At 38.8% G+C, this 25,756-nt stretch overlaps 1 protein-coding gene across 11 annotated transcripts in view, besides 1 other annotated feature; it reads right to left on the bottom strand.

Annotated features, from left to right (window-relative positions):
* Positions 1 to 25,756, bottom strand: part of IQCH (IQ motif containing H) — a 247,019-nt gene that overhangs the window by 117,629 nt on the left and 103,634 nt on the right. For 9 of the 11 annotated variants that reach the window (NR_147832.2, NM_001031715.3, NM_001322475.2 and 6 more), the window contains 3 exons: positions 24,291 to 24,329; positions 11,514 to 12,065; positions 10,743 to 10,809 (listed from right to left, as the gene is read on the bottom strand). Coding sequence is in view for 10 of the 11 variants with exons in the window: in NM_001031715.3 (NP_001026885.2) it covers positions 10,743 to 10,809; positions 11,514 to 12,065; positions 24,291 to 24,329 (658 nt within the window). In the remaining variant the exon portion in view is untranslated. Of the gene's footprint in view, positions 1 to 9,981; positions 10,810 to 11,513; positions 12,066 to 12,642; positions 12,749 to 24,290; positions 24,330 to 25,756 lie in introns of those variants that run through there. The other 2 variants (NM_001284348.2, NM_001284349.2) reach the window with 2 other exon arrangements.
* Positions 10,829 to 11,350: an enhancer, noted in NCBI's record as "VISTA enhancer hs358". NCBI's record gives its function as "enhancer in: branchial arch[3/11]" and the evidence as "EXISTENCE:transgenic organism evidence [ECO:0001131][PMID:17130149]".

The following is a 25,756-nucleotide window of genomic DNA, read 5'->3' as shown; positions in this document are numbered from 1 at the left end:
TAACTGCTTATATGAAATTCAACAACTGTAGGTGTAACTTTTTTTTTCTTCATTAAAATTGCTTTTCACATTTTGAAGAGATGCTTCAATGCCTCCTTGTGGTTAGTGAGCCCAAACACACATTTCAAGTTAAACTGCTCTAGATAAAGTGATTTTATATACTACATCTTCAAGATGTGACACACATTTCCTTTTCAGCCTAAGGAAAACTATAGCAATTCAGGCAATGGGGCTTCAGACCAAATGAACTCTGATAATTGGCTCTTTGCTTTGATGTCAGTGTTTAAACACTAGACAATGTCTGGAAATTAAATGACTTTACAATCATCTAAAAGTCTCTCTTTGCTTTGCATCTGGACTTAAGAATTAAAGAGAGAGGCAGAAGGACAAATGAGCTGTTCGAATCATTTTTGAAAAATTACTAATCTTTCAAATAATTTAGAGAACCATTCCACATATAAAAGCTAATATAGGCAGTTACAACTCCAATGTCTTTATGTGTGACTGCAATATTGTAACTTGGGATTTTGCATATGTATAATTTTATCTATATTCAAATAAATGTTTAGAAAGATGTATTGTGGATAACATATAGCAAGAGTATAAAAAGGCAGGAAAATGCCTAAAGAATAAAGTGTGATTAAGAAAAGTGCCTGAGAGCATTCCATGACTGCATTGCCTTTCAAAAGTAAAGATAAAAGCAGTATAATATGTCTCATTAAGATGATGTCCAATTTAAAATATAAAAGATGTCTGATCACTTTGTTGCCACATACGCAGCATGTGAGTGAATAAGTCTGTGTTCCATTCCAGTGTTTGAAGTCAGTTTTCCAACAAATTACTTGGGACCTCTGTTACCACTGATCAAGAATGCATATAAAATGTCTACATAGAATACACCCATTTTAAAGAAGTGTATGCTAATCTTGGAACATTGTTGTAGAAAATCACATGCAGTTACAGACATGAAAACACCTTGTAAGCTGCAAAGTGCTTTATAAACACAAGGTATTTTAATGTTACAAGGTATGGATGTTTCCAAAACATATAACAACAACAACAACAACAAACTCTGTGACAAGCAACAGACCATTCTACATGGACAAGATACAACGCAATGTACAATGACATCAGCAGAGCAGAAGTTGGGAGTCAATATATTTTTTTAAGTCAGACTTGTTTTGTTTTATACATCCATAAAGTATATGTGTTGACAGGTGAAAAGATTTCATCTATGCTGGTAGTACATGCTAAATATAACAGTGACTTAACCACGAAACTATCAACAAGGATGTCATGGTTTGTGGGAGTTCAGTAGACAGGCCCAGTGGCGATGAGACATTGCACTTTGGGATATAATCTACAATGATATGATTTCTTCAAGGGTATCAATTAGGAACACTGGGGGAGTTCTGAGAGACTATCAACCTCAATCCTGTCATATTATAGGTAAGGAAACTCAAGGTAAGTGTCTTGTCTCTTGTCCAAGGTCACATAAACCTACCAATTATTATACGGTTTAGATACTACATATTAGCTCTTGTGAGAAATTTAGTTATATAAAATAAAAGACTCTCCAAGTGTGAGCAGAGAAGAAGTCCAGAAGGGACAAAGAGCTTTGGCCTCTTTTCTCACTTTTATTTTCAGTTGTTGTAGTAGGCAGAATAATGGCCCTTCAAAAACGTCCAAGTTCCAATACCCACAACCAGTGAATATATTGGGTTACATGACAAAGGAGAAATAAAGTTGCTAATGGAATTAAGGTTGCTATCAACTGACCTTAAAATCAAGAGATTATCCTGGATTATCTGGCTGGGCCAGGTGTAATTGTCAGAGTCCTTAGAAGTGGGAGAGGGAAGCAGAAGAGAAGAGTTGCTAGGTCTCTCTTGAGGCAATAAGGTCCTCATCATCATGGGGTATGCCTGACCACCCTTTTCTAAAGTTCTTAGTCTCCCTTCACTGTCATTCTCTTGCACCTGTTCTTCACCACCCTTTTCTCATTTTGTCGTTACATATTTCTTTGCTTGGTTGTTTACTTTGTTGTCCATTTCTTCTTTCCCCTGCATCACTCTAGCTCCTGTAACCAGACTCTTAGCTATGTTAGAGCAGGCACTTGTGAAATCTCCAGTCAAATAAACGAATGAAACACGTGTGAAGCCCGTACTCAAAAAATCTTTTAATTCTTTTTTTTTTTTTGACAGGGTATCACTCTGTTGCCCAGGCTGGCAATGCAGTGGTGCAATCTCGACTCACTGCAGCCTCAACCTCCTGGGCTCAAGTGATCCTCCCACCTCAGCCTCTCAATTAGGTGAGACTACTGGTGCACACTACCACACCTGGCTAATTTTTGTAATTTTTGTAGAGCCAGGGTTTCGCCATGTTGCCCAGGCTGATCTCAAATTCCTGGGCTAAAGTGATCCACCCACCTCAGCCTCCCAAAGTGCTGGTATTATAGGCATGAGCCACCATGTCCGGCCTGTCTTTTAAATTCTTAGCCCTTTCTCCTGTGTGTTCTGATCACTCCCCCTTCTTTCAACTCTTCTAAAATTGGGTCTCTAAGCTGGAGAACTTCTGGAGAATTCAAAGAATGGTAAGTGGGATTTGTAGCTTTTTCCAGGTCCTCATTAGCACAGAACAATACAACACTAGCAGAAAGAGGCACTCTCTCTTCCTCATCACTATAGAAAGGATCACAGCCTCTTTTCTTATGGCCATTCTCATTTCCCGCAAAATATTCCTAGTTTGATAGAGAGTTCCGTCTTTTCTCAAATAAGCAGTTGTGAAATATTATTGTCTCTACATCAAAGAAGCTTACCTGAGAGCTGCCTCTCTGAAGTTACTCATCTACTACTTCTGGTCCCCCACTGAACCAAGGTTGCTCATCAAGGGTTACTGGCAATCATTTCTCCATCTTCACTTCTACCTTCACAGCCTTTCCCAGTCCCTTTCTGCATAAACATCTATCAGATGACACTAATTGCCTCTTTGCATCCAGCAAACTAGCTCTGCTAGGATTGGCTTTTCTTTCACAGTAACCACAGAAACCCAAGAACATGAGCAAGGCCACACTGAGTGACTGAGCCCCCTTGGCACTGGTGCATGTCTCTGTGACAGGCCCCTGTTGTTGCAGCAGATCACACGTTCTTGAAAACTCAGCTTCTTACCCAGTGGGTGACTCCTAGTTTCTTTTGTCTCCCAAGTCCTATTTCTTATAATGGTATTCAAGGCAGAGAAGAGGTTAACAACAGACTCCTGATTACCAAGTAGTAGTTGTTTATCTCATCGCTCTAGCCTGGGATGGTAGTCATTCATGCCTCAGTTTGGTGATCTGGAGGAATAGTTCTCAACCTTTTCCTCATTTTGAAACTCATGATCAGTGATGTTCAATGCATCACATCCTCCCAGCAGCATACTCAAGCTTACTCCATCCCTTTCTCTCCTAATCAAGAGAGCACACTGGAAGAAAGGTGAAGAAGAGTGACATTGATACAGAGATAATCTGGAATTGCTCCAATTCATAAGAAAACTTTGGTATTCTAATGGTAGAAAAATAAGAAGACACATGATATACTCACAAATGATTGCATATCAGCATCTTATAATAATAGAGAACTATGATCTAGACACTGTGGTTGTAACCAGGCTTTAATTACTTATGCAAGTGTGAAAGCACAAGATACTAGAAAGCAAGAAGGTGGGTTCCCAAAAGATGGCAAGAAACAGCTCTATCTGGGTTATTTATATAGTATATCAATTGCCAGTTAGATTAAAATAAAACTAATAGTTGGTTTTTTGGGGGGCTATTGAAGGGGATTAGGGAATTTTGGTATAAAGATGTAGAAAACATGGAAATACATTTGTTGAGTTTTGAAAACATCCTCAAACCAAATGGGCCAAATGGATTCACCTTCAAAAAATTAAGGAAGTTCTCTTGTTTAAACTTTTCTCAGTGGTTAGCACAGCATTGCATGCAACTAAAGCCAGTTGTATTAGTACATTTTCACACTGCTATAAAGAACTACCTGGCTGGGCACAGTGGCTCACACCTGTAATCCCAACACTTTGGGAGGCCGAGGTGGGCAGATTAACTGAGGTTGGGAGTTCGAGACCAGCCTGACCAACATGGAGAAACCCCATCTCTACTAAAAATACAAAATTAGCTGGGCGTGGTGGCACATGCCTGTAATTTCAGCTACTTGGGAGGCTGAGGCAGGAGAATTGCTTGAACCCAGGAGGCGGAGGTTGCGGTGAGCTGAGATTGCACCATTGCACTCCAGCCTGGGCAACAAGAGTGAAATTCCATCTCAAAAAAAAAGAAAGAACTGAGTAATTTATGAAGAAAAAAGGTTTATTTGACTCACAGTTCCACATGACTGGGGAGGCTTCAGAAGACTTACAATCATGGCGGAAGGTGAAGGGGAAACAAAGACCTTCTTCACATGGTGGCAGGAGAGAGACAGTGAATGAGGGGGGAAGTGCCACACTTTAAAACTGTCGGCTCTTGTGAGAACTCACTCCCTACCACAAGAAAAGCAAGGGGGAAACCTGCCCCTGTAATCCAATCGTCTCCCACCAGGCCCCTCCTCCAACATGTGGGGATTACAATTCAAAATAAGATTTGGGTGGGGACACAGAACCAAACCATATTACCAATGATTCTCAAATTGTGATCTGGGAACCCAAGGGGATACTGAGAACCTTTCAGGGAGTCTGCAAGGTAAAAACTATTTTCAAAATTATACTAAGATGTTCTTTGCCTTTTTCAATCTTGTTCTCTTACAAGTTACAAAAGACAAAAAGTTTATTAATATGATTGTAGATTCCACATTGCAACTAACACTTAGAATTACCATTGTGGAGTTTAGTATAAAGTCAAAGAAGAATATACACAACTATCTGAAAAGGCTATAAAACATACAAATTATTCTTTCATTTTCCAAATACTTATCTGTGTAGGGCTAGATTTTCTTCATGTGTGTCAACCAAAACAACATATTGCAACAGATTGAATACAGAAGCAGATATGAGAATCCAACCATGTTCCATTAATTTTTCAGACCTGTCAGACAATCCTACCCTTCTCACTAAATTTTTTTTTGTTTTAGAAAACAATTATGTTTCAAAAATATGTTATTTAGATTAGTGTTGGTAGTGGGCTTATTATTGTTATTTTAAAAGAAGTTAATAAACATTTTAAAAATTACTGTTTTAATTTCAAATACAGTTAATAATGACAGATATAATCCACTTAAACCAATGTTCTTTACGGTCTTCAATAATCATGATGAGTGTAAAGGGGTCCTGAGAACCACTGAACGAGCCTTTTAATATTTTTTATGAGTGTAAAGGATGTTATCTTTTATAGTGAAAAATTCCTTCTACAGCATATCCTAATATTAATAGATCTCATGAAAAGCCTATGAGCTGGAGTCACCTGACACCCAGTTCAATGCTGTTTCTGTATTTCATGGTACAACATCATATAGCTCAAGACCAATTGGATAATTTCATATTATAAGATCACGGGACCAACTCTGATCTAACCAGTATAAATGAGTGTTGATTTCGATTACATGGGTGAATACAAATATGTGTGTGTTTGGGCTATAAAGCATTTTTAAAGTTTAAGTGTACTTTGTTCCTGATCCTGAAAGATCTGGATATTTCTGGGAAATGCTGTCTGGGAAGTCTTGGCAGTACACCTATCCCAAGGATCTAGTATGGCAACACCATAGCTAAACTATGGATTCTATACTACTTGCCAAAATATATGTTGAAGACTGCAAAGATTTTATTGAAAGTCCAGATTTCCTAGCCTGAGGTGGAAGGAACAACATCCATCTTGTCTTTGAGCTGTCAACTCAAAAGTAAAAAGCAGCATTGAACTGGGTATCAGGTGACTCCAGCTCATAGTAGAGAAAGCAGAAAGGTGCCAGTGTGCGTGGAGGCATAGTAAAAAGTGATTGCAGATCTAACGCCGTTGGCTGCCATCCTCCACTCTGCCCCTGTTCACAAATGTAGGTGAGTTCAAGCTTTTATCTCTTGGCAGAAGAGCACAGAGTTAGGAAGCAAGAGTCTCATAAGCATTTGGGACTTTCTCAGTTCAGCATATGATCGGTTGCACACAAAAGTAAGTTTCCCTATCCTTTCTCGTAGGCTTCTGTGAAAGTACACATGAGCTGGAAAATGCTGTATTTCATGAACTTCATAATAACAGGATCCATAATTTTTATGGAAAGAAGAATTTGAAGACCACTACTTGTTTTAACCCCAAGAATAACTTGCTAAAATAGGGCACAGAGGGAAAATATGGAACTGAACTATATACATTCTTTTTAGTCATCAAGTCAATTGGCAGTGAAATAAAAGATTACATGGAGAAAAGAAAAAAAAATCCCACCTCTATTTTTACTTTAAAGGAGGAGGAGAAGTGAGAGTGAAAACTCATCCCTGGGGGTTTAATTGGCTGGCAGTGGCTTCATATACTGCTCACAGCAGCAGAGCCCCATATTTGGCACGTCTCATTTAATGTCAATATATTTTAAAAAGCAACTGAGTTTATACGTAGCACCAAGTGATGTGCTGCAGTAAAGAAGCACAGGGGTTAAATTAAAAGTGGAGGAAATACTTGGCCAAAGAAACTGGGAGCAAAATTAGTCTGTAGGTTTTATTTAGACATCTGGTTTTTCTAGAGGAATTAGGATTCTTCAGGTTCTTTCTCATTTGATTGATAGATTTTGCTTAAAATAGACCCTAATATTTTATTCCTGTTATGAACCACTGTAGATTATTTTGTTATAATTATATTAATAAAAATGATAAAATATGTAATATCCAATTAAGAGATCAGCCTATAAACTCTGAAAAATGTTTCTTTATCATCTTATAAAATTACAAGGCAAATCAGGTTTTTTTGACAGCAGCATTCCACTTCTCTTGTGGGTTAAAAATAGCTAAAATTTTTGTTATATCTAGGAATACTATCTGAAATATATAACAATCAATCAAGTTTCATAAGTCCTCCTTTCTTTTTTTCTTTTTTTCTTTTTTTTTTTTTTTTGAGATGGAGTCTCGCTGTGTCCCCAGGCTAGAGTGCAGTGGCGTGATCTCGGCTCACTGCAACCTCCGCCTCCCAGGTTCAAGCGATTCTCCTGCTTCAGCCTCCTGAGTAGCTGGGACTACAGGTGCGTGCCACCACACCCAGCTAATTTTTGTATTTTTAGTAGAGACGGGGTTTCACCATGTTGGCCAGGATGGTCTCGATCTCTTGACCTCGTGATCTGCCCACCTTGGCCTCTTGAAGGATTGGGATTACAGGCGTGAGCCATCACACCTGGCCTAAGTCCTCCTTTCAAAGAGGTTACTCCACAATGTTTAATTGTCTTACTGTTCATATTACCAAGCCACAGATTTTAAAATACTTTATAAATATTTTGTGGTCAAAAACATTACTGAAAGGCCATCCTTTCTGTGATCACCAGTTTGGAAAATGCAATTATTCCCATGTGTGCAAAACTGCATAAATAACCAAATGCTTACAACTACAATATATTATGCAGTTATCAACTACTTAGCTTTCATTTGAAGGGTTCAAACAAGTTAGTGCAGCCCCAATTGGCTAGCAGCATGGTGTAATTATTTGTAGAGCTAATTCTACAGCAAATTTCCTATGGCAAGAGAAAAAGAGGACAAGGCTGCAACTTGTGTTAAATGCCTACCTGAACCAGACAATCCTACCAACTGATTTTGACTAGTGAATCTGTCTCAACTTTGGAAATGAAATTACTAGATTGAATAGATTAGTTTTCTTCCAGTACATTTAGAGAAAAAATTTGCTTCACTTTCATCCACTTCTATTTTTATGAATTGTATAGGTAAGTCCCTGGTGCATGAGACAAAGAAGTTTGTGGCATCTAGCTGAAATCTTCTTTAAGGACTCCCAGGGATGTGGTACACAAAAAAAGGGTACCCTATATCCTTAAAAATATATACATCGTTTGAGAATTCTATCTGTGGAATAGGTAGGAGATGACAGCTTGTTGTTACTTAATTTAATGTTCACAAGTCATTTGTATAAAATCCAAAGCACGGCCGGATGCGGTGGCTCACACCTATAATCCCAGCACTTTGGGAGGCCGAGGCTGGTGGATCACTTGAGGTCAGGGGTTCCAGACCAGCCTGGCCAACATGGTGAAACCCCGTCTCTACTGAAAATACAAAAATTAGCCAGGCATGGTGGTACATGCCTATAATCCCAGCTACTTAGGAGGCTGAGGCAGGAGAATTGCTTGAACCCGGGAGGCGGAGAATGCACTGAGCCGAGATCGCACCACTGCACTCCAGCCTGGGTGACAGAGTGAGACTCTGTCTCAAAAAAAAAAAAAAAAAAAAAATCCAAAACAAAGATTGTAGAAACAAATACTATATGATCAAAGCCCAGGTATTATTCTCTTTTGAAAGTGTGCAATTAATCTTTTAAAATGCTCAATTGAGAAGAAATCTGAGCTTGTTCTTATCTCTTAGAAATTACATAATTAGCAGTTTTTCTTTAAAATGGGTATCATGTTGTTAACAAACAAAAATTGCTACATTAGGGAAGACTTTCATATTTATTATGTATTTATTTAAACTGAATATGTGTAATCCAGAAGAAAACTAGTTTTAATATCATATTTAAAATAACGTTTTCTATTTCTAGCTTCTTTGACCAGATTATTCTCCCACTTAATTTATTTTATTTTATTAATTTTTTTAGACACAGTGTCTCTGTCATCCAGGCTGGAATGCAGTGGGATGATCATAGCTCACTGTAATCTCAAACTCCTGGGCTCAAGTGATCTTCCCTCCTTAGCCTTCCCAGTAGAAGGACTACAGGCCTGCGCCACCATGCCTCGCTAATTTTTGAAACTTTCTAAAACAGGGTCTCACTATGTTGTTCAGCCTAGTCTTGAACTCCTGGCCTCAAGCAATCCTCCCAAAGTGCTGGGAACTCCCACATAATTTTTATTCAGTAAGCCCTTTTGAAATTTTAAGACACTTTCACTCAAATTTTTTTATTACCTAGTTTACATAACGATTACTTTCAAATTTTTACTTCTTTGGAAACTCCTTTGTATCAAGCTTCTCTGCAGAGCAGACTGCATGGAAGTTTTTAGGAGGGTCAGAGGTGGGAGTATAGGAGTAAAGAAGTTTGTGTCTATCACACCTTTGTGCTAAGCAACTTTGCAAAGTGGGGGGCCCTGTATAGAGAAAGCAAAACAAAATTTCCCATATAATATCAGGTCTGGTCCACAATTAGTTGCAGAAGCAAAGCCTCCTGCACCTTATTCGAAGGACTCAAGTCAACTAATGAGGTCTGCAATTAGCCTCTTTGGTTGCAATCAACTACAAGTGCAATTTCTGTGTGTGAACTAATTTTGTGTGTAAAAGTAGTCTCATCAAAACAAAAGCCTAACTTAGAATGAAATTCAGATCCTATACCTCACTTAGATCCTAAGAAGAAACAAATTTCTTTCATGAGCCATGAGGTAGACCAAAACTAAAAGGCTCTGTGCAATGCAAGTATTTTCTTAACCTTCTGTAAGTACTTAGATCTAAGTACTCCAGAGTCTAGAAAAGATTGCCTTATTTTATTATTGATATTTTACTAATTTAAAAATAATTATATTGTATAATGATTTAAATGTTTTTTCTTTTCATATTACTGTTTAAATGTGTTATGTTTCTACACTACATGTAAGTACACAAACTGGTTATGCTCACATATGAATATGAATAAACTGCAATCCAGCATTCTGTTACAACAGATCACTTAATGCATTGCTCTACTTAAAAGACTTTAACAAAGAGCTAATATGTATGTAACAAAGAGATTCAATGGGTTGTGCTGCTTGTCAAAACTCTACCAAGTCAGCTTAGGAAATCTGACCTCACCAAGGAAATTTAACACACTAGTGAGATGCAAAACAAAACAAAACAAAATAAGGAAGCAAACAAATCCCAAACATGTTGACAGTAGCTCATGTCTTAAAAGAAACTCCAATGCAAATTTCTGAAATTCCCAATGTCATTTTGGCATACCTTTTTTACCAGTGTGTTTCAGACAACAGCTTTTAAGTTCCCCAATTCATAAATGTAATTAAATAATTACATTAGTGCTAATTAACATGAAACTGCAGATTATTTAAGTGCAAAAAACACTATTCAACTTCTTAATTATTCTTGTTCACACAGCATTTCCTTTTGCTCAGGCGCCCTAGGTGCAAATAAAGCATCCCATCTGCTCGTAATTAGAACTAAATAATTTCAGAGAATGTAGCTTATCATTTTGACTGCACATTTGATTAAAAACAGTGTACAAGCAATATCCTGGCTTATTGGCGTAACAGCAACAACACATACAAGCCTGTGTTCTTCTATCATTAAAGAAGATCGAAAACATTATCTGTTATTTCGGGGAAAAATACAACTTTTTAGTTCATTTCATACAGATGAAAGCGAATTACAGCAAATCACCTCTCCACTGAATAGCAGCCCCCACATAATGACTTTATTTGCTTAATCCCCAAATTAAACGCCGTTTCAAGCGAGGGTCCTGTGTTATTACTCTCATCATGTCGAGAACATTTTCCTGCCGAGACCAATTTGAATAAAACAAGGGGCCTTCCTTGAACTCAATCAAGGAGCCATAATGTGGTGGGTAATAGAGGTTGCTGATAGATTTGCAGGCAAAAGTGTTATACCTAATGATGGGATATGGATAATAGTCCTCCTGGAGGTCCTGATGCGATTCCAGTTGGCTGCCAGATGCTAAAAATCAAGAAGAGCATTGATCAGTGACAGGAAGCTGTAGTGGATTCATCTAGTCAAACTTCAGCTGTTTTTCCACTGTACAGTTAAGCCAGGCATAAATTATATTAATTGATTTAATTACATACTTAAAACATCTTCCCCAATTAATTTAATTAGGTGGCTACATGATGCTACTGGCAGGGGAAGATTAGAGGCAGCTCACTTAATTAACAGAATATGAATGAAAAAAAGAGAAAGCAAACATAAATGAAATTGTGAGCACTAATTAAAAGGCTGTCTGCAAACTTAAATACTTTCTGACAAAGTGGTGACAGCAATGTAGACAAGAGAGGATTTTTTTTTTCTGAGCAAATTAAAGTGCCAGAAGGTATATATAGGGAGAAAAAGTAATGCAGTTAAAACATTGATTTTCTGACAGAACTACCATAGTCAAAGTGAAGGGACTTTTTTTTTTTCTATAGAAAAATTGCAACAGATTTTGCAGGCACGAAAGCCAGATTCTTGATTAGGGCTAAACTATGATGCACAAACAAATGTGGGGTTTGTGCATCATACATTGAGGGGAGTGAAAGGCGTGGGAGTCTGAGGCAAGGAGAGTAGTTGGAAAGAGAAAGGGAAGATAGAGACAACTTATTACAACCGCTCAAGCACGAAATGTTTAGAAAAAGAGGTCTGCCTTAACAGCTGGCAGCCTTGTGCACCTTGGCTCGAATGCGAAAATTCTCCAGGTGTCTCTGACGTGATTCCTTTAGTATCTTCTTTAGTCGAGTCTTATGGCAATATAACAGCCAAGCAATGGCAATCACACCTGATGCCCACTTCTGCTGGCGATAAAAGAGGAAGAATTTTCTTGCTTTGTAGCATTTCCATGTGGCTTGGATCTTCATGGCGGCCTCCGAATTTCCATCTTGGCCCTTGTACCTTTGCCCTGGAAGATTTATCAGCATTTGGACATGAGCTGGGTCCTCTAACACTGAGAGAAGGTCATATCTGGTAAGTTTATTCGTCAGCTCAAACTCTGGAAGGAGGGCCACCAAATTATTCCCTTTTATTTTGACTTCTGGTATAGCATAGTTCCTGAGAAACTTCTCGACGTGTTCCAAGAGAGAAAAAATACCTCCCCAAGCTAAGCTAAAATGTTCCTTGAATGCTAAGAAGTCTGGGGCTGTATTGTCTATGACACCATCATAAATTAAAAAGTCATAATCCCACAGTGATTTCAGGGCTCTCAAAGGTGTTTTGACTTTCATGGCCTGTGGAAAAAAAGAAATATATTTTAGAAGTGAAAGATATTATGATCTCCTTTAAATGAGTGGTCAAGACACACACTACATTATCATTTAGCATTCAATGGTGGGAAGATATGAATCCTAGCACTGATTTAACACACACGTCATAATACGAAAGTCTAGCTAGTATATATCATTAAAACTCATTACCAGATGGATATCTTAGAGATCACTCAAATCTATTAACATTTTTATAAAAGTGTTATAAAATTGTTCAAGGAAACCAGTCATAAAAAATTATGCATTTAGTTTACTTTGATACAATCACCTGACCCCCAATCTCTGTGATTTAGTTTTTACACATGCACGCATGGTCTGAGAAGCATGTTGCTGATTCCTTGATCACAACTTATCCACCAGTCTGAAAAACAGGGCGAAGCCTTTCTTCGCATTCCTTAGGATAACTTCAAATGTGCCCGTTAAAAATTGTTTCTGACTTCATAAAAGATCATCACTTTTTAGCATTTTATAGTTCTTCTGCCATCTTCTCTTAATATCCAGAGGTCATTTTTACAAGGAACATTATGTTATATGTTATCACCTTTGTCATTCTTAGGTTTCTCTTGACACGTGTTCTTTTATTCTTAAGTCTGGTTTCTTCTTAGGAACATATCTGGGGCTGTCCCAGGTGGATTAGGATCACAAATCTGATAACAAAACCAAGGGAGCATTTGCTTTTCATTTTGTTCCCACCTGTATTGACATTTTAAGCTATGAAAATACTTTTATTTATAATTGGTAAATTTCTAAGACTCGGATGCTGAGCAATTTTTTTTGTTCTTTACACTTTCTATGTTAAACCACTACATTTCAATTCTCAGAACCTATTCTACTGAAAACAGACACTCTGCCCAAGATCTAAATGTTCCTGATGGCTTGGAGGGGCTGGGGGAGAGGGAGGGTACAGATTTTCAGGCCCTGAGTTCTCGTCAGTAAACCCGGTATTAACTTACTGTAATAATTGTTTCTTCTTGCTTAGGTATGTGAGGAATAGATTGTTTTCAACATGTCAGCGTTCTCAGATGTATAAGCCCATCTTTACCAAACTGTGGGGTTATTATTACTCTTCGCATTTTGAAGAGTTTTCAAAAAACTCAAAGAAAACCCCCCCCAGCAATTTATCCATAATGATTACGCCACAGCACTGTGTTGAGTATTACTATATCAGATTATTCACGCGTTTTCTTTTCTCCGGTCCTGGGCCGCACAATAATTAATTAGACTGCCATCTCAAGTAAAAATGCTGAAAAACAAGTGTTAAGTCCAAAAGTGCAAATTTCCTTTCACTTTAGAAGCAGACTTTAAACAGCAGTGAGCTTTTTGTGTACTTTTAACTTGAGTTGTTATAAGGCATAAAAATGAGGGAAAAAATCTTCCTTCCAAGCTTCTATCCCTTTCTGATCTAATCAGGGTGCCAGAAGAGAATGCAAGCTACTTGGTAGATGAAAATAAATTCCTTCTTCTTGGATGGGCAAGAGAAAGTTGGAGAAGTAATGCCCCCTTCAGCAGCCACCAGTGCTGGCAGGAGAGGCTGCCACTCCTGGTAGAAGACAAGTGGCACATGTTCCAACAGAAATGGCCTCTATGGCCACATTGCTCCCTCCCTTCAGGAACGGTCTCTGATACTAGGAATTAGAATTCAGAGAAGAATGACAGTGCTTCATCAGTGAGAAACAGACATGCAAAATAATCACAGATGGACATGTATGGAGCTGGCTGGTCCTGCCAGTCACGTGTGATTCAGTCAACAGGACTCTGAGACCTATAAGAAGCAAAGCTATCGATGGGAGATTTGCCAGAGAATCTTGTCTTCTTGGCAATATTCTGAAACTTCTTATCTTCACAGCGAGACATGTGGAATTAGGACCATCTATGAAAATGGGACAACCTTGGCAGAAGTTGAGAAAGGAGAGAACTCACGTCTCTCTCAGACAGTGCCTTTCCATGGGGTGGGTCTAGGGTTTTTACGTACATCAGCAAATGTATTTTAGACCTTCTGAAAGAACAGCCTTGGGTGGCAGTGGGAGCAAAATTTATCAGTGGCTGTTTTAGAACAAAGGGATTACACCTTTCTACCTTCTTGGATGATATTCCAGCAAAGACCTGCTCTCAAAGGAAACATACTCCTGGACATCAAACAGACCACTCAGGCACTGGGAAGCTATCGGTTTGGAGTCAGCTAAAGCATAACTGTAGTACATCTGTCACAGAGAATGCCACACTTGGGAGCACTTTAGACTTGGAGCAAGAAAAGACATGCCTCTCAAGAGAAAGGCTTCCCAAATTAAAGCAGTGCATCAGCATTGTGAGATCCATTGAGCAGGTAAAGACAAAGCTGCTTCACAGCCTGCTAGGAATAAGAGCCCTGATTAAAGGTCATGCCATGCTTCAGGTTCTGGCTCATTCTGTTATTCTTTATTATCTCTGTGAACTTATCTACTATTATTTGTTGGCTTTCTTTCTTCTTTCTTTCCTTCTTTTTCTTTTCCTCTGCCTTCTTTCCTCCCTCCTTCCTTTTCTTCCTTCCTCCCTCCCTCCTTCCCTTCTTTCCCCTTCCCTCTCTTCTTTCTCTTTTTTCTTTTTCTCTTCCTTCCTCTCTCTTTCCCTCCTTTTTTAAGATGTGCTGTACTCCCAATATGATATTACTGACTTGACGGCAATTTTTTTTTCCTTCTAGCCAAGAAGGATTTCTGTCAAAACATTGTATTCTCACCTGGTGCTTCTTGGGTCACAATCATACCTTTGCGAGATGCCTGTATTCACTAATTGGCCCACATGAAGCCCAAACCTGTGGCCTAATTATTAGCATCTTGCTCTAACTAATTAGCTGGGAAATGTTCTTTGTTTGCAAAGTGTAATCGCTAATTAGATAACTTTGAGAGTTTCTGGAGCAGTTATTTAGGCAAAATTCTAAATCCAAAACAAAAAACAGGAAAGCAGGATGATGATTACATATGTTAGTAAGTCACAGATGTTAAGCAAAAAAGATAGACCCAGTGTTGCATTCTAAAATTTAGAAATACTAGCTGGGTGTGGTGGTGTGCAGCTGTAGTCCTAGCTACCCAGTAGGCTGAGGTGAGAGGATTGCTTGAGCCCAGGAGTTCGAGGCTGCAGTGAGCTATAATCACACCACTGCACTCCAGCCTGGGTGACAGAGTGAAACCCTGTCTCTCAAATAAATAAATAAATAAATAAAATTTAGAAATAACTACCACAAAGAAAATCACATTTCTAAGACAAATGTCTTTATGAAAAATGTTCTTTTCATGTATGTGGACAGTATGTGGGTGTGGCATTAAACTGGATCCATAATCAGATACAAGCAGGATCTCATAGTGGCAAATGGCCAAGTATTTGGGATAATACCACATGGATATCATCTTTAGAGAATGATAATCATTCCATTGCCTAGAAGGATAGACTAAATTCCTTCTGAAACTAAAAGCCAATGTTCAGTTTCTCAAATACCCAAACATATCCATTAGTAATTAGCCCAGGCAATTGCACTGTGTGAAAAAGAGTAAGTTCTTTCTGCACCTTATGGCTCTAAATGAGAGTTTGCATTTAGAATATGAATGGAATGTCCCTCAGAGATGGAGTCCTTATTCTTTCTCAAAGACCAGGGATGCTATTTGTCTGACTCTGCTTTTAAATTGTGTTAAGGGTCCACAATGTGTTGAGCTTTCTATAGAATAAACATCAGGACCTCAGCTGGCTAGAATTGTTCAAAAGATGTACATGATATTCAGAGAGACTAGCTGACCTAATCAGCGGTCCGGAATTCAGCATAGTCACAGGCCTGAATTTTAGAGGACAAGGGAACTTGAAGGTCACTGCCCTTGCCTTTTGCTCAATAGGCTATTACGGGCCCAGAGAAATTAGCCTTGGCCTTAAGTCCAGCTAACCTGGGTTCAAATCCAAGCTTTGCCAATATCTGCTACATACTCTTGGGCAAGTTACTACACCCTCTGAACCTAAATTTCCTTATCTGTAAAAATGAGAGGTCCCTGCAGAGTTGCTATGATGATTACAGTATGTGTCAAGAACCTTTAACAGTGCCTTAGCCCTAGTCAATGTGGTTTTTACTATAGAGAAGGAAACTGAGGCTCAGAGAGGTTAAATGACTTGCCCAAGATCACAAAGCTAGTTGGCAGATCTTCTTAATTTCTAAGACAGTATTTTTGTTACTATAAGACAAAATTCTGTTCCTAAACAACCCAAATCCATATATAACCAAAGGAAGGAGAATAAGTACTATAAGAAGTGTGTCTTTGCTACTCTTCCATTTCCTTTCATCAGCCCCTCTTCCTTCCCATCGGGTGTTTTCTCTTCCCCACCCTACCTCATGCTGACCCCTACCCCCGTACCACCAGTGCCCACAGCCTAAACTGTCTAGAACTCTCCATATGGCTCCTTACTAAGCTTTGCTCTTCTTAGTCTTCCTTCTACCACCTTGTACATCAGAGCCAACCTGGCCTTGATCTGCTGTTTTTTTCTTTTTCTTTTAAAAAAACTGAACGATAATTATTATTTTTAGAGACAGGGTCTCCCTCTGTCATCCAGGCTGGAGTGCAGTTGCGTGATCATAGCTTGCTGCAGCCTCAAACTCCTGGGCACAAGTGATCCTCTCACCTCAGCTTCCCGAGTAGGTGGAACTACTGGCACATGTCATGACGCCCATCTAATTTTTGTAATTTTTTTGTAGAGATAAGGGTCTCACTATCTTGCCCAAGCTGGTCTTGAACTCCTGGCCTCAAGCGATCCACCCACCCCAGCCTCCCAAAGTGTTGGGGTTACAGGCATGACCCACTGCACTCAGCTCATTTTTTCTTATTTGACAGGCTGGAAAGCAATTTGTCAAACTAATTCCTATCACTGTGCTAATGAACATAACATAGTGTGGTGTATCAGAAGCAACAAGACCCAGAATCTAGTCTGTTACCACCTTCCTCTGTGGCCTTGGGAAGCCACTTCTGTGGGTTTCAGTTTCCATTAAGAGATCACTCAGGGCACTTCTAATTTTGATACCCTACGCCTCTCTGACTTAATGTGTCACCCCTGCAGGGGTATTGGCTTTTTAATAAACTTCTGGAGCCAGTAAAGCCATCAAATCAAAGGCAACTATCTCCAATGGCATCACTTTATGCACCATGAAAAAAACCTGGGGGATTTTTTTCGTATTCTATTTTTCAGATAGAAAACTCTTTCTAGTAACTCTGAAATCAAAATAGATGAACGACTGCCCACACCACCTAATGGTAAAGGTGGTCATGGGGAGAGAACCCCAAAGAGTAGTGTTCCAGTATTCTGGGGCCTGCAAGTCAATGGCTCTCAGTTCATAATATCTAGAAACTGTCTAAGTAATCCTTAAGTGCCAATTAAAAGTGGAAGTCAGAGTCCTTAACCTTTACAAAGAGAATAAAAGGCAAAAACAGAACTCATCGAGCAGAGATATATAAAAGAAGAGACTTGAGCGTAAAGGCCACTCAGATCAGCAGCAATTTTCTAGGAATAATTTCTGCAATTGCTTTGAAAGGTATCTTTATTCAAATGAGTCTTCCTGAACTCTGAAACACTTCCTGAGGAGAAAAATCCCCATCCTTTGATGCATTCTCATGGAACAAAAACACACGATGGATCAAAATCTGGTTGAAGATCAAACAGAATAGAATCAAGAAGATTTTGTAAATAGATGGTCTATTTTCAGTCAAATGTGAAATTTCCTTCTAGAGACACATTTCATTTTACTGCTGCATTGATTTCATCTTTTCTGTTATACCTCTAATATTCTCTGAGAAAATGTGACATAGTTAAGGACCACTGGGGACAATTATGATGGATGGGTTGAACCTGCTGGGGATGTGGACAGGAAGCCTGACAGGATGGGAATCAAAAGCAGCCTGGATTCCCAGATCTCTGAGCAAAGACACATCATAATTTTCTCTACACGTATGGGAAAAAGAGCAAGCCTCAAAAAGGACTGCTATTATCACCAAAGTAAAGCTTGACATTCCATGTTTCCTGAGAAAAATGTGGATCTAGTACGTTCCTTGATCCAAATCACTAAAGAACACTTGCAAAATTCCTACAGAGCTCCACCTTGTCATATTCTCTATACCTACATATGTATTCTTTTTTTGTTTTTGAGACAGAGTCTTCCTCTGCTGCCCAGGCTAGTGTGCAGTGGTGCAATCTCAGCTCACTGCAACCTCCACCTCCCAGGTTCAAGTGATTCTCCTGCCTCAGCTTCCTGAGCAGCCAGGATTACAGGCACGCGCCACCACACCCGGCTAACTTTTATATTTTTAGTAGAGATAGGGTTTCACCATGTTGTCCAGGCTGGTCTTGAACTCCTGACCTCAAGTGATCTGCATGCCATGACCTCCCAAAGTGCTGGGATTACAGGCGTGAGCCACCGTGCGTGGCTTCTATACCTACATATGTATTCTGGTTTATTTTTCTTCATAGCACTTATCTCACTCTTTGATATTATATTAAATATCTGATTATTGCCTCTCTCACTAAAATATAAACCCCAAGAGGACAAGGACTAGGTTTGCTTCATTCATTGTTGTGTCCCCAGTGCCTATCTAGTACACTGCCTGGCACACGGTAAAGGTCAAAAAGGATTAGTTGAATGAATGAATGTATGAAAGTGTGAATACTAAAATTTAAGCTTATAGCCAGTTGGACTGGGTTCACAGCACAAAGCTGTTCTATGATCATACAAGTTATTTGCAAACTTATAGCTTGAGTTTTGGAGCACTAATGCAAAGTTTGGCTACTGAGATACAAAAATGTCCATACCCTTTGATCAAGAAGTTCCACAGGCTAGGTGTGGTGGCTCATGCCTATAATCCCAGCACTTTGGGAGGTCAAGGCAGGCAGATCACTTGAGTCCACGAGTTCCAGACCAGCCTGGGCAACATGGTAAAACCCCATCTCGACAAAGAAATGCCAGAAAAATTAGCTGGGCGTGGTGGCATATGCCTGTAGTCCCAGCTACTCAGGACTGTGAGGTGGGAGGACTGCTTGAGCCCCGGCAGGTCAAGGCTGCAGTGAGCCACAATCGTGCCACTGCACTGCAGACTAGGTGACAGAGAGAGACCGCATCTCAAAACAAGAACAAAAACAATTATTTATTAATAATGTAACATTTATAATTTAATGTCAAGCAATAGGATGAAAATTATGGTATATCTTTAATAAAGATATTATAAAGCCACTAAAAATGTTTTATGAATTTTAAATCATATATGTAAAGGTTTATGATAAACTATTAGATGAAAAGAGTAAAACCAGAGTTGAATATACAGTATAATACCAATAAAAGAATATGCCAAAGTTTAAATAGTACCAAAGGATTGTGATATGGGGAAAAAAATCCTTCTATACTTTTTTTCTCTTTTCTGAATTTTCCAAATTTTCTATGAATGATCAGGTCACAATTGATCAATGAAAGAGATAAAGTGAAAAAATACAGATTATCTTGTTGGCTGATAATTTAACCTTTTTTCTGTTGTATATAAGCAAAATTATTAATCACATGTAATAAAAATGTTCAGTTAGACAATGCTATGAAAAGTAGTAAAAACAGTCCTTGTAGTTTTTCTCGGTAATTACAAGAAAAATTGTTCCACAAGAATTTCAAAAAAATTGTTTGGCAAATAAAACTATATAATTTCAATTCATTTGGAAAGTTTAATGATGAAAACGCATAGGTGAGGATGGCAATTTCTAATGAATTAGAGAAAATGGTAACTCTTTTTAAAAGATTCTACATGCAAATCAAAACCACAATGAGATACCATCTCATACCAGTCAGAATGACTATTATAAAAAGGTCAAAAAATAACAGATGCTGGTGAGGTTGCAGAGAAAAGGGAATGCTTATACACTGCCAGTGGGAATGTAAATTAGTTCAGCCATTATAGAAAGCAGTTTAGTGACTTCTCAAAGAACTTAAAACAGAATTACCACTCGACCCAGCAATCCCCTTATTGGGTATATACCCAAAGGACTATAAATCATTCTACCATAAAGACACATGCATGTGTTATGTTCACTGCAGCACTATTCACAATAGCAAAGACATGGAATCAACCTAAATTACCATCAATAGTAGACTGGATAAAGACAATGTGGTACATATATACCATGGAATACTATGCAGCCATGGAAAAGAAAGAGGTCATGTTATTTGAAGCAACATGGATAGAGCTGGAGGCTATTATCCTAAGCAAAATAACACAGGAACAGAAAACCAAATACTGCATGTTCTCACTTATAAGTAGGAGCTAAACATTGAGTACACATGGACACAAAGAAGGGAATGACACAGGGGCCTACTTGAGGGTGGAGGGTAGGAAGAGGGTGAGGATCCAAAAATGAGCTATTGGGTACTATGCTTATTACCTGGGTGATGAAATAATCTGTACACCAAATCCCCATGACACACAGCTTATTAATACCTATGTAACAAATCTGCAAATGTATTTCTGAACCTAAAAGTTGAAAAAATAAAAATTAGGCTGGGAATGGTGGCTCACGCCTGTAATCCCAGCACTTTGGGAGGTTGAGGTGGGCAGATCATTTGAGGTCAGGAGTTTGAGACCAGCCTGACCAACATGGTGAAACCCCATCTCTACTAAAAATACAAAAAAAAAAAAAATTTAGCTGGGTGTGGTGGTGCACGCCTCTAGTCCCACTTACTTGGGAGGCTGAGGCAGGAGAATCGCTTGAACTAGGGAGGCAGAGGTGGCAGTGAGCCGAGATCATGCCACTGCACTCCCACCTGGGTGAGAGAGCAAGACTCCATCTAAAAAAAAAAAAAAAAAAATCAAGATTTGTGTTTTTTAAAAAAGATTCCACAGGGGTTGTTTGTTTGTTTTTTTTTCCGTGTCTGGATTTTTCTTTTCTCTTCTTCCTTTAAGATGGTAAGTTAAATGAAGTTTTATGAGAGAGAATGAGTCTAAAAGAGAAAAAAATAGCTTTGGACTTGCTTTTGAATCTTGTTTTGTATCTCCAGGTTGCAGAGCTCTGATTCTCTTAAGAACTGCCCTCTCTCCAGCCCTTTAGGGCAAGACAAGAAAGGAGACTAAATTGTGCTGGGAGCAAAGTCAGCCAGGGAGGCACCCTGTGCCTTTTAAGAAGTAGGCTTATTCCCCCACCAGATTTGACATGTTAAAGCCAAAACTGCTGCTAGATATCATCTAGTGGTTTTGAAAGTATACATTTTAAAGCCTCGAACACTTTGTTCAAATACCATATAGTTTGATAGCAAAGAGGTAAAATAGAAAACCCAAGTGTTGTGGATATAGGGGCCTACAGCCCCCTATTGCTAGGAGCTTTTGCTTCTCTTCTTTCCCTGGGGCTATGGGGTGAGGATTTCCTGGGGCTGTAGGGTGAGGATATGGAAGCCCCTTAAAAACACTGATTTGATCCAATCTCCTTTTTATACAGATAGAAGGAAATGAGAGCAGATAGGGGCAGTGATATGTTTAATGTCACACATATTGCCTGATTAAAACAGTTCAGCTGACTCACCCATAAAATAATTACAGTTTTCTAAATGACAGGATCAGAAGTATATGGTGGGAAAATACTAAAGAAAGTAACAATTGAAAAGAATGACTAAGAGAAGTGAGACCCCAAATTTGAGATTACAATGTTATCACCCAAACCCATTCTTTCTACACCAATATAAATTTTACAACACAAGGATGGCTTAGGAAACAGGATTTTCTTTTATATTTTTCTTCAATTTGGATTTTTTTTTTAAATTTGGAGATGTTTTGGAAAAGTTTTAAACACACAGAGAAGTATAGAGAATAATATAAAAAACTACCACGGACACATTTTTGTTTAATTTTTTGTCGTCTTTGCTGTAAATATACGTGTGTATGTGTGTGTGTGTGTGTGTGTGGTGTGTGCGTATATGTATGTTATATATATATAAAGTTAACATCCTCTCTGTATTTCTTTTCATTCTCCTTCCTCTTTCTTCCTGTTCCCAGAAGCAAACACACTCATGAAGTTGGTCTGTACTCCTATAGTAGAATAAATATTTGTTTGTTTGCTTGTTTTATCCATAAAATAGATTTTTATTATCAAAATATTAATTAAAATTGAGTGAATCTTAACATAGTTTTTATGCTTGCCTTAAGATAATAAAAAGATTTATTTCCTGACAGGCAATTTTAACAACCTCAAACCTTTGAACTAGATTCTTGAAAATAAGGATGCCTCAGATTTATTGAAATAACTATTACAAACTCTACTATCATTTTTTATTCTTCGGATCCTGTGCAAAGCCTGACTGACTTAAACTTATTCAACTTCTTAAATTGGGTTTGGTTAACTGAGCTATAAGATAGAAAAGGCTGTTAAAGTCGGAGCCGATGAAAGCAGACACAACAGCAAGGGTGGTAACTGCTGTCTGTTATTGAAGAAAACAGTAAAAGACACAGAAACTGATTACCTGTATACATGATATTGAATAGAGAAAAGATTAAATTATATTAGTTAGGCAGAAGTGTAATATATTTTAGAAATGCAATAAATGTAATATGTTTCCATAAAAATGATTGATATTTATAAAAATTTCTAATGCTTTGGGGCTCTGGTAGTTACATAGTCCAGTTTTGTATGTTGGCTCTGTCATTTACTAATTGGATGACTAACTGAATGATAATAGTGCCTATTGCACAGAAATCCTGTGAAAATGAAGTGAGATAATCCACTTAAGACATTAGGAACAGAGCCTGGCAAAGAGTAAGCACTCAGTATATGTTAGCTGCAAGTAGCAGTCGCAGCAGCAACAGCAGCAGTAGTAACAGGAGCAGTAGTAGTACTATTTGAAAAGCTGACCCATGTGGAAGCATTCATAACCTGGAACAGGCAGAGAGCACAAACTCCGGAGCTTCACTCTGTCAGCTGGATCCTTTGCACCCTTTTACCAACTGAGTGGGCCTGGGGACAACTGCAGCACATAGGTTCTGCCTGCTATGACGGTTCAGTGGGTACGAAAGATGCTTAGTGCCATGCATGCAGGACATGCTCAGTCAACATTAGCAGTTACAAATATTCCAGATAAATAATGCCTTACTGTTCGTAAACACATCCTATTTTTAACCTGCAGAATCAAGCTCACACTTTTCTCACAGTAAGACGTCAAGGGACGTAAGAGGAAGGATCTAATTGCACGGATTAGTTTACCAAGGAGCAATCTGTCTAGGTACAGAGGGACTGTATGTAATCATTGATGTAAATACAGCTCTATCTAGGCACAGCTCTGCAGGAATAAAATGTGACCCCAAAGGCGGGCTCTTTTTCCTTGAAAGCAGATGGCTAAGATCCCTGTAAAATTCTTACTGATAAGAGATCCCCAAGAAAGGGAGGCCTAGAAGATGCTCTTAATAATGGACCAATGAGTTATGATAACAAGTACTTTTCCAAAACACTTTCACACACATTAATGCATCTGATCCTTGCAGCAACTCTACGTGAAGGAAGCTTTATCCTCATTTGTCAGAGGAGGAAAGTGAAGAGCAGAGAAGTCAAGTGACTTGCTCAAAGGAGAATCAGGTGCATTCCTACTTCAAGTTCAGGACTTTTATTACCCATGCATGGCCTTGTGGAATGTTCCTTGCTGGCATGTACTTGCCATATTGTGGGGGCTATTTCATTTTTCCAATGTTTTTATAACCTTAGTTGTTAGGATTAGCTTAACTCTAAATCCCATCTGTACTACAGCATACATGCAGTATGTTGCATGTGTGTGTGCATCCTATATGCATGCACACATATAAGCACGTGCTGGGGGACAACCGCATTTATTTTTCACATTTTATTTCTTTTTAAGTGTACTTTTAAAAGATGAAAATCTTTGATTGAATTTGAAGATTGATGTGATTCAGCCAAATTTTAAGGACGCTAAGTCATTTGTTTGGACTGAAGCCTGAGAAGTAATTCAGTCCCAAAAGGAGGCAAAAAAGGGTTTTCACTTTAAATGAACCATGTTTTTTTTTTTTTCCTGAAACCATGATCTAATTTCTTTTACAAAGGAAGCACGAACTTTTGTTGCCATCTCCAGCTGTCAAGCAGTCACCCATACTCTTGCCCTGCAGCAAAAGGAAGGGACATCAGGTGACAGACCCTAAATTTCAACTAGTCACACAAATTACAGACCTTCCTATCATGATGTCCTCTTGACCTTCTGCTTTTCCCCTACAATGAAGAATGAGACACAGTTTAAATCAAAACGACTCTCATGGGCAATTTTACAAAACAAATAGAAGGCTCAGAGCCTCACCCCCTTCCCCATTTTACCCGCTGGGCCAGCCTGTTCTCTCTTTCCACGCAGGCAGGAGCTAATAATTAGAAAGACCTTTCCCACACTGACAACGATGCTCTGTTTGCCAAGCCCCGTTTGCTTTGAAGAAAGAGTTTGATTAAGTAAATATTTACAAAAACAACTATAATCAGATGCCAAGTCCCACTTCTAGGGGACACTAGCGTGGCACCACACTGCTTTGTGGTGGTGTCTGATCAAAGGTCTGTACTGGCTCTATCACGAGGCTTGGCATACTGAAGTCCTTCTCTTAGCCTTTTAACTTCCATGCCCAGGACACTTCCCACAAAATATGTGAAAAATTACATTTACCATTGAAGAGTCAATTTAGAAATGCTGTACCAATCTGGGACCACAGGAAAAAGTCATTAAATATTACTGTTTCCAGCAGTTGGGGAGAGCTTTGTGAAGTCAACAGAGAAAATTAAAGCCAGGGCTCATTAGCATTCAGAAAATATGTCATTATTTAAAACTATTTTTTTCGTGGTAAACCATTTACTGGCTAAAACCTAGTCATAATATTTGTATTACCTGTAGATCTGTTATCTATAAAACTGTGGGACCTGAGCGCTCCAACAGGGTGAGAATCAAAACAGGTGCCTCCGCCTGTTCCTATTATGCATATTAGCCCATGGCCTTCTCACAGCCTGTTAAACAGCTGAATTTGAAACAATAATGGTGCAGGCCAAACACTCGCCTGAAGGCCTGTCTGTCTTGGGATTTGGCCATTTACATTGATTTTCTTTACCCACATTTTTCATGAAACACAAATATTTGCCATGGCAACTGGGGTGTCACATGACATGCTGCTACATAAATAGCTTGGAAATCTCTTAAGGGGACACAGCCCACCAGTGCTGATATTACAGTGAAACCTCTTGATGATTTCAATATTGAAAGATAAAAGTCTGGGAAGAGCAGGTAGCAGTCTACTATGGAGAGGCAGTAGGATTAATTTCTCTTGTTCCGCTCTTCAATTTCTCTTTCTTTCTTTTCTTATGAGAGCAGCTGTAAACATGACCACTTTCCACATAAGGTAAGCCAGAAAAAGACAGTGCCAGCTGTCTCCTTTCTGTGGTGAAAAGTTTCAAAAATCACAAGTCTGTCTGCAGTCCATAAACCTAAGAAAGCAAGGTACAAAAGTCCAGCACATTTAAACTGGGGGAATCTCCATAAGAATGAATTACATTGTACTGTGAGGAGTTAATGTTAAAGAATACAGAATTTGGCCCGGTGTGGTGGCTTATGCCTACAATCCCAGCATTTTGGGAGGCCGAGGCAGGTGGACCACTTGAGGCCAGCA

The sequence above is a fragment of the Homo sapiens genome, chromosome 15 (assembly GCF_000001405.40).
Source record: "Homo sapiens chromosome 15, GRCh38.p14 Primary Assembly".
Taxonomy (NCBI): Eukaryota; Metazoa; Chordata; class Mammalia; order Primates; family Hominidae; genus Homo; species Homo sapiens.
Note: the sequence above shows the minus strand (reverse complement) of the source record. Positions and strands in the feature narration are given on the sequence as shown.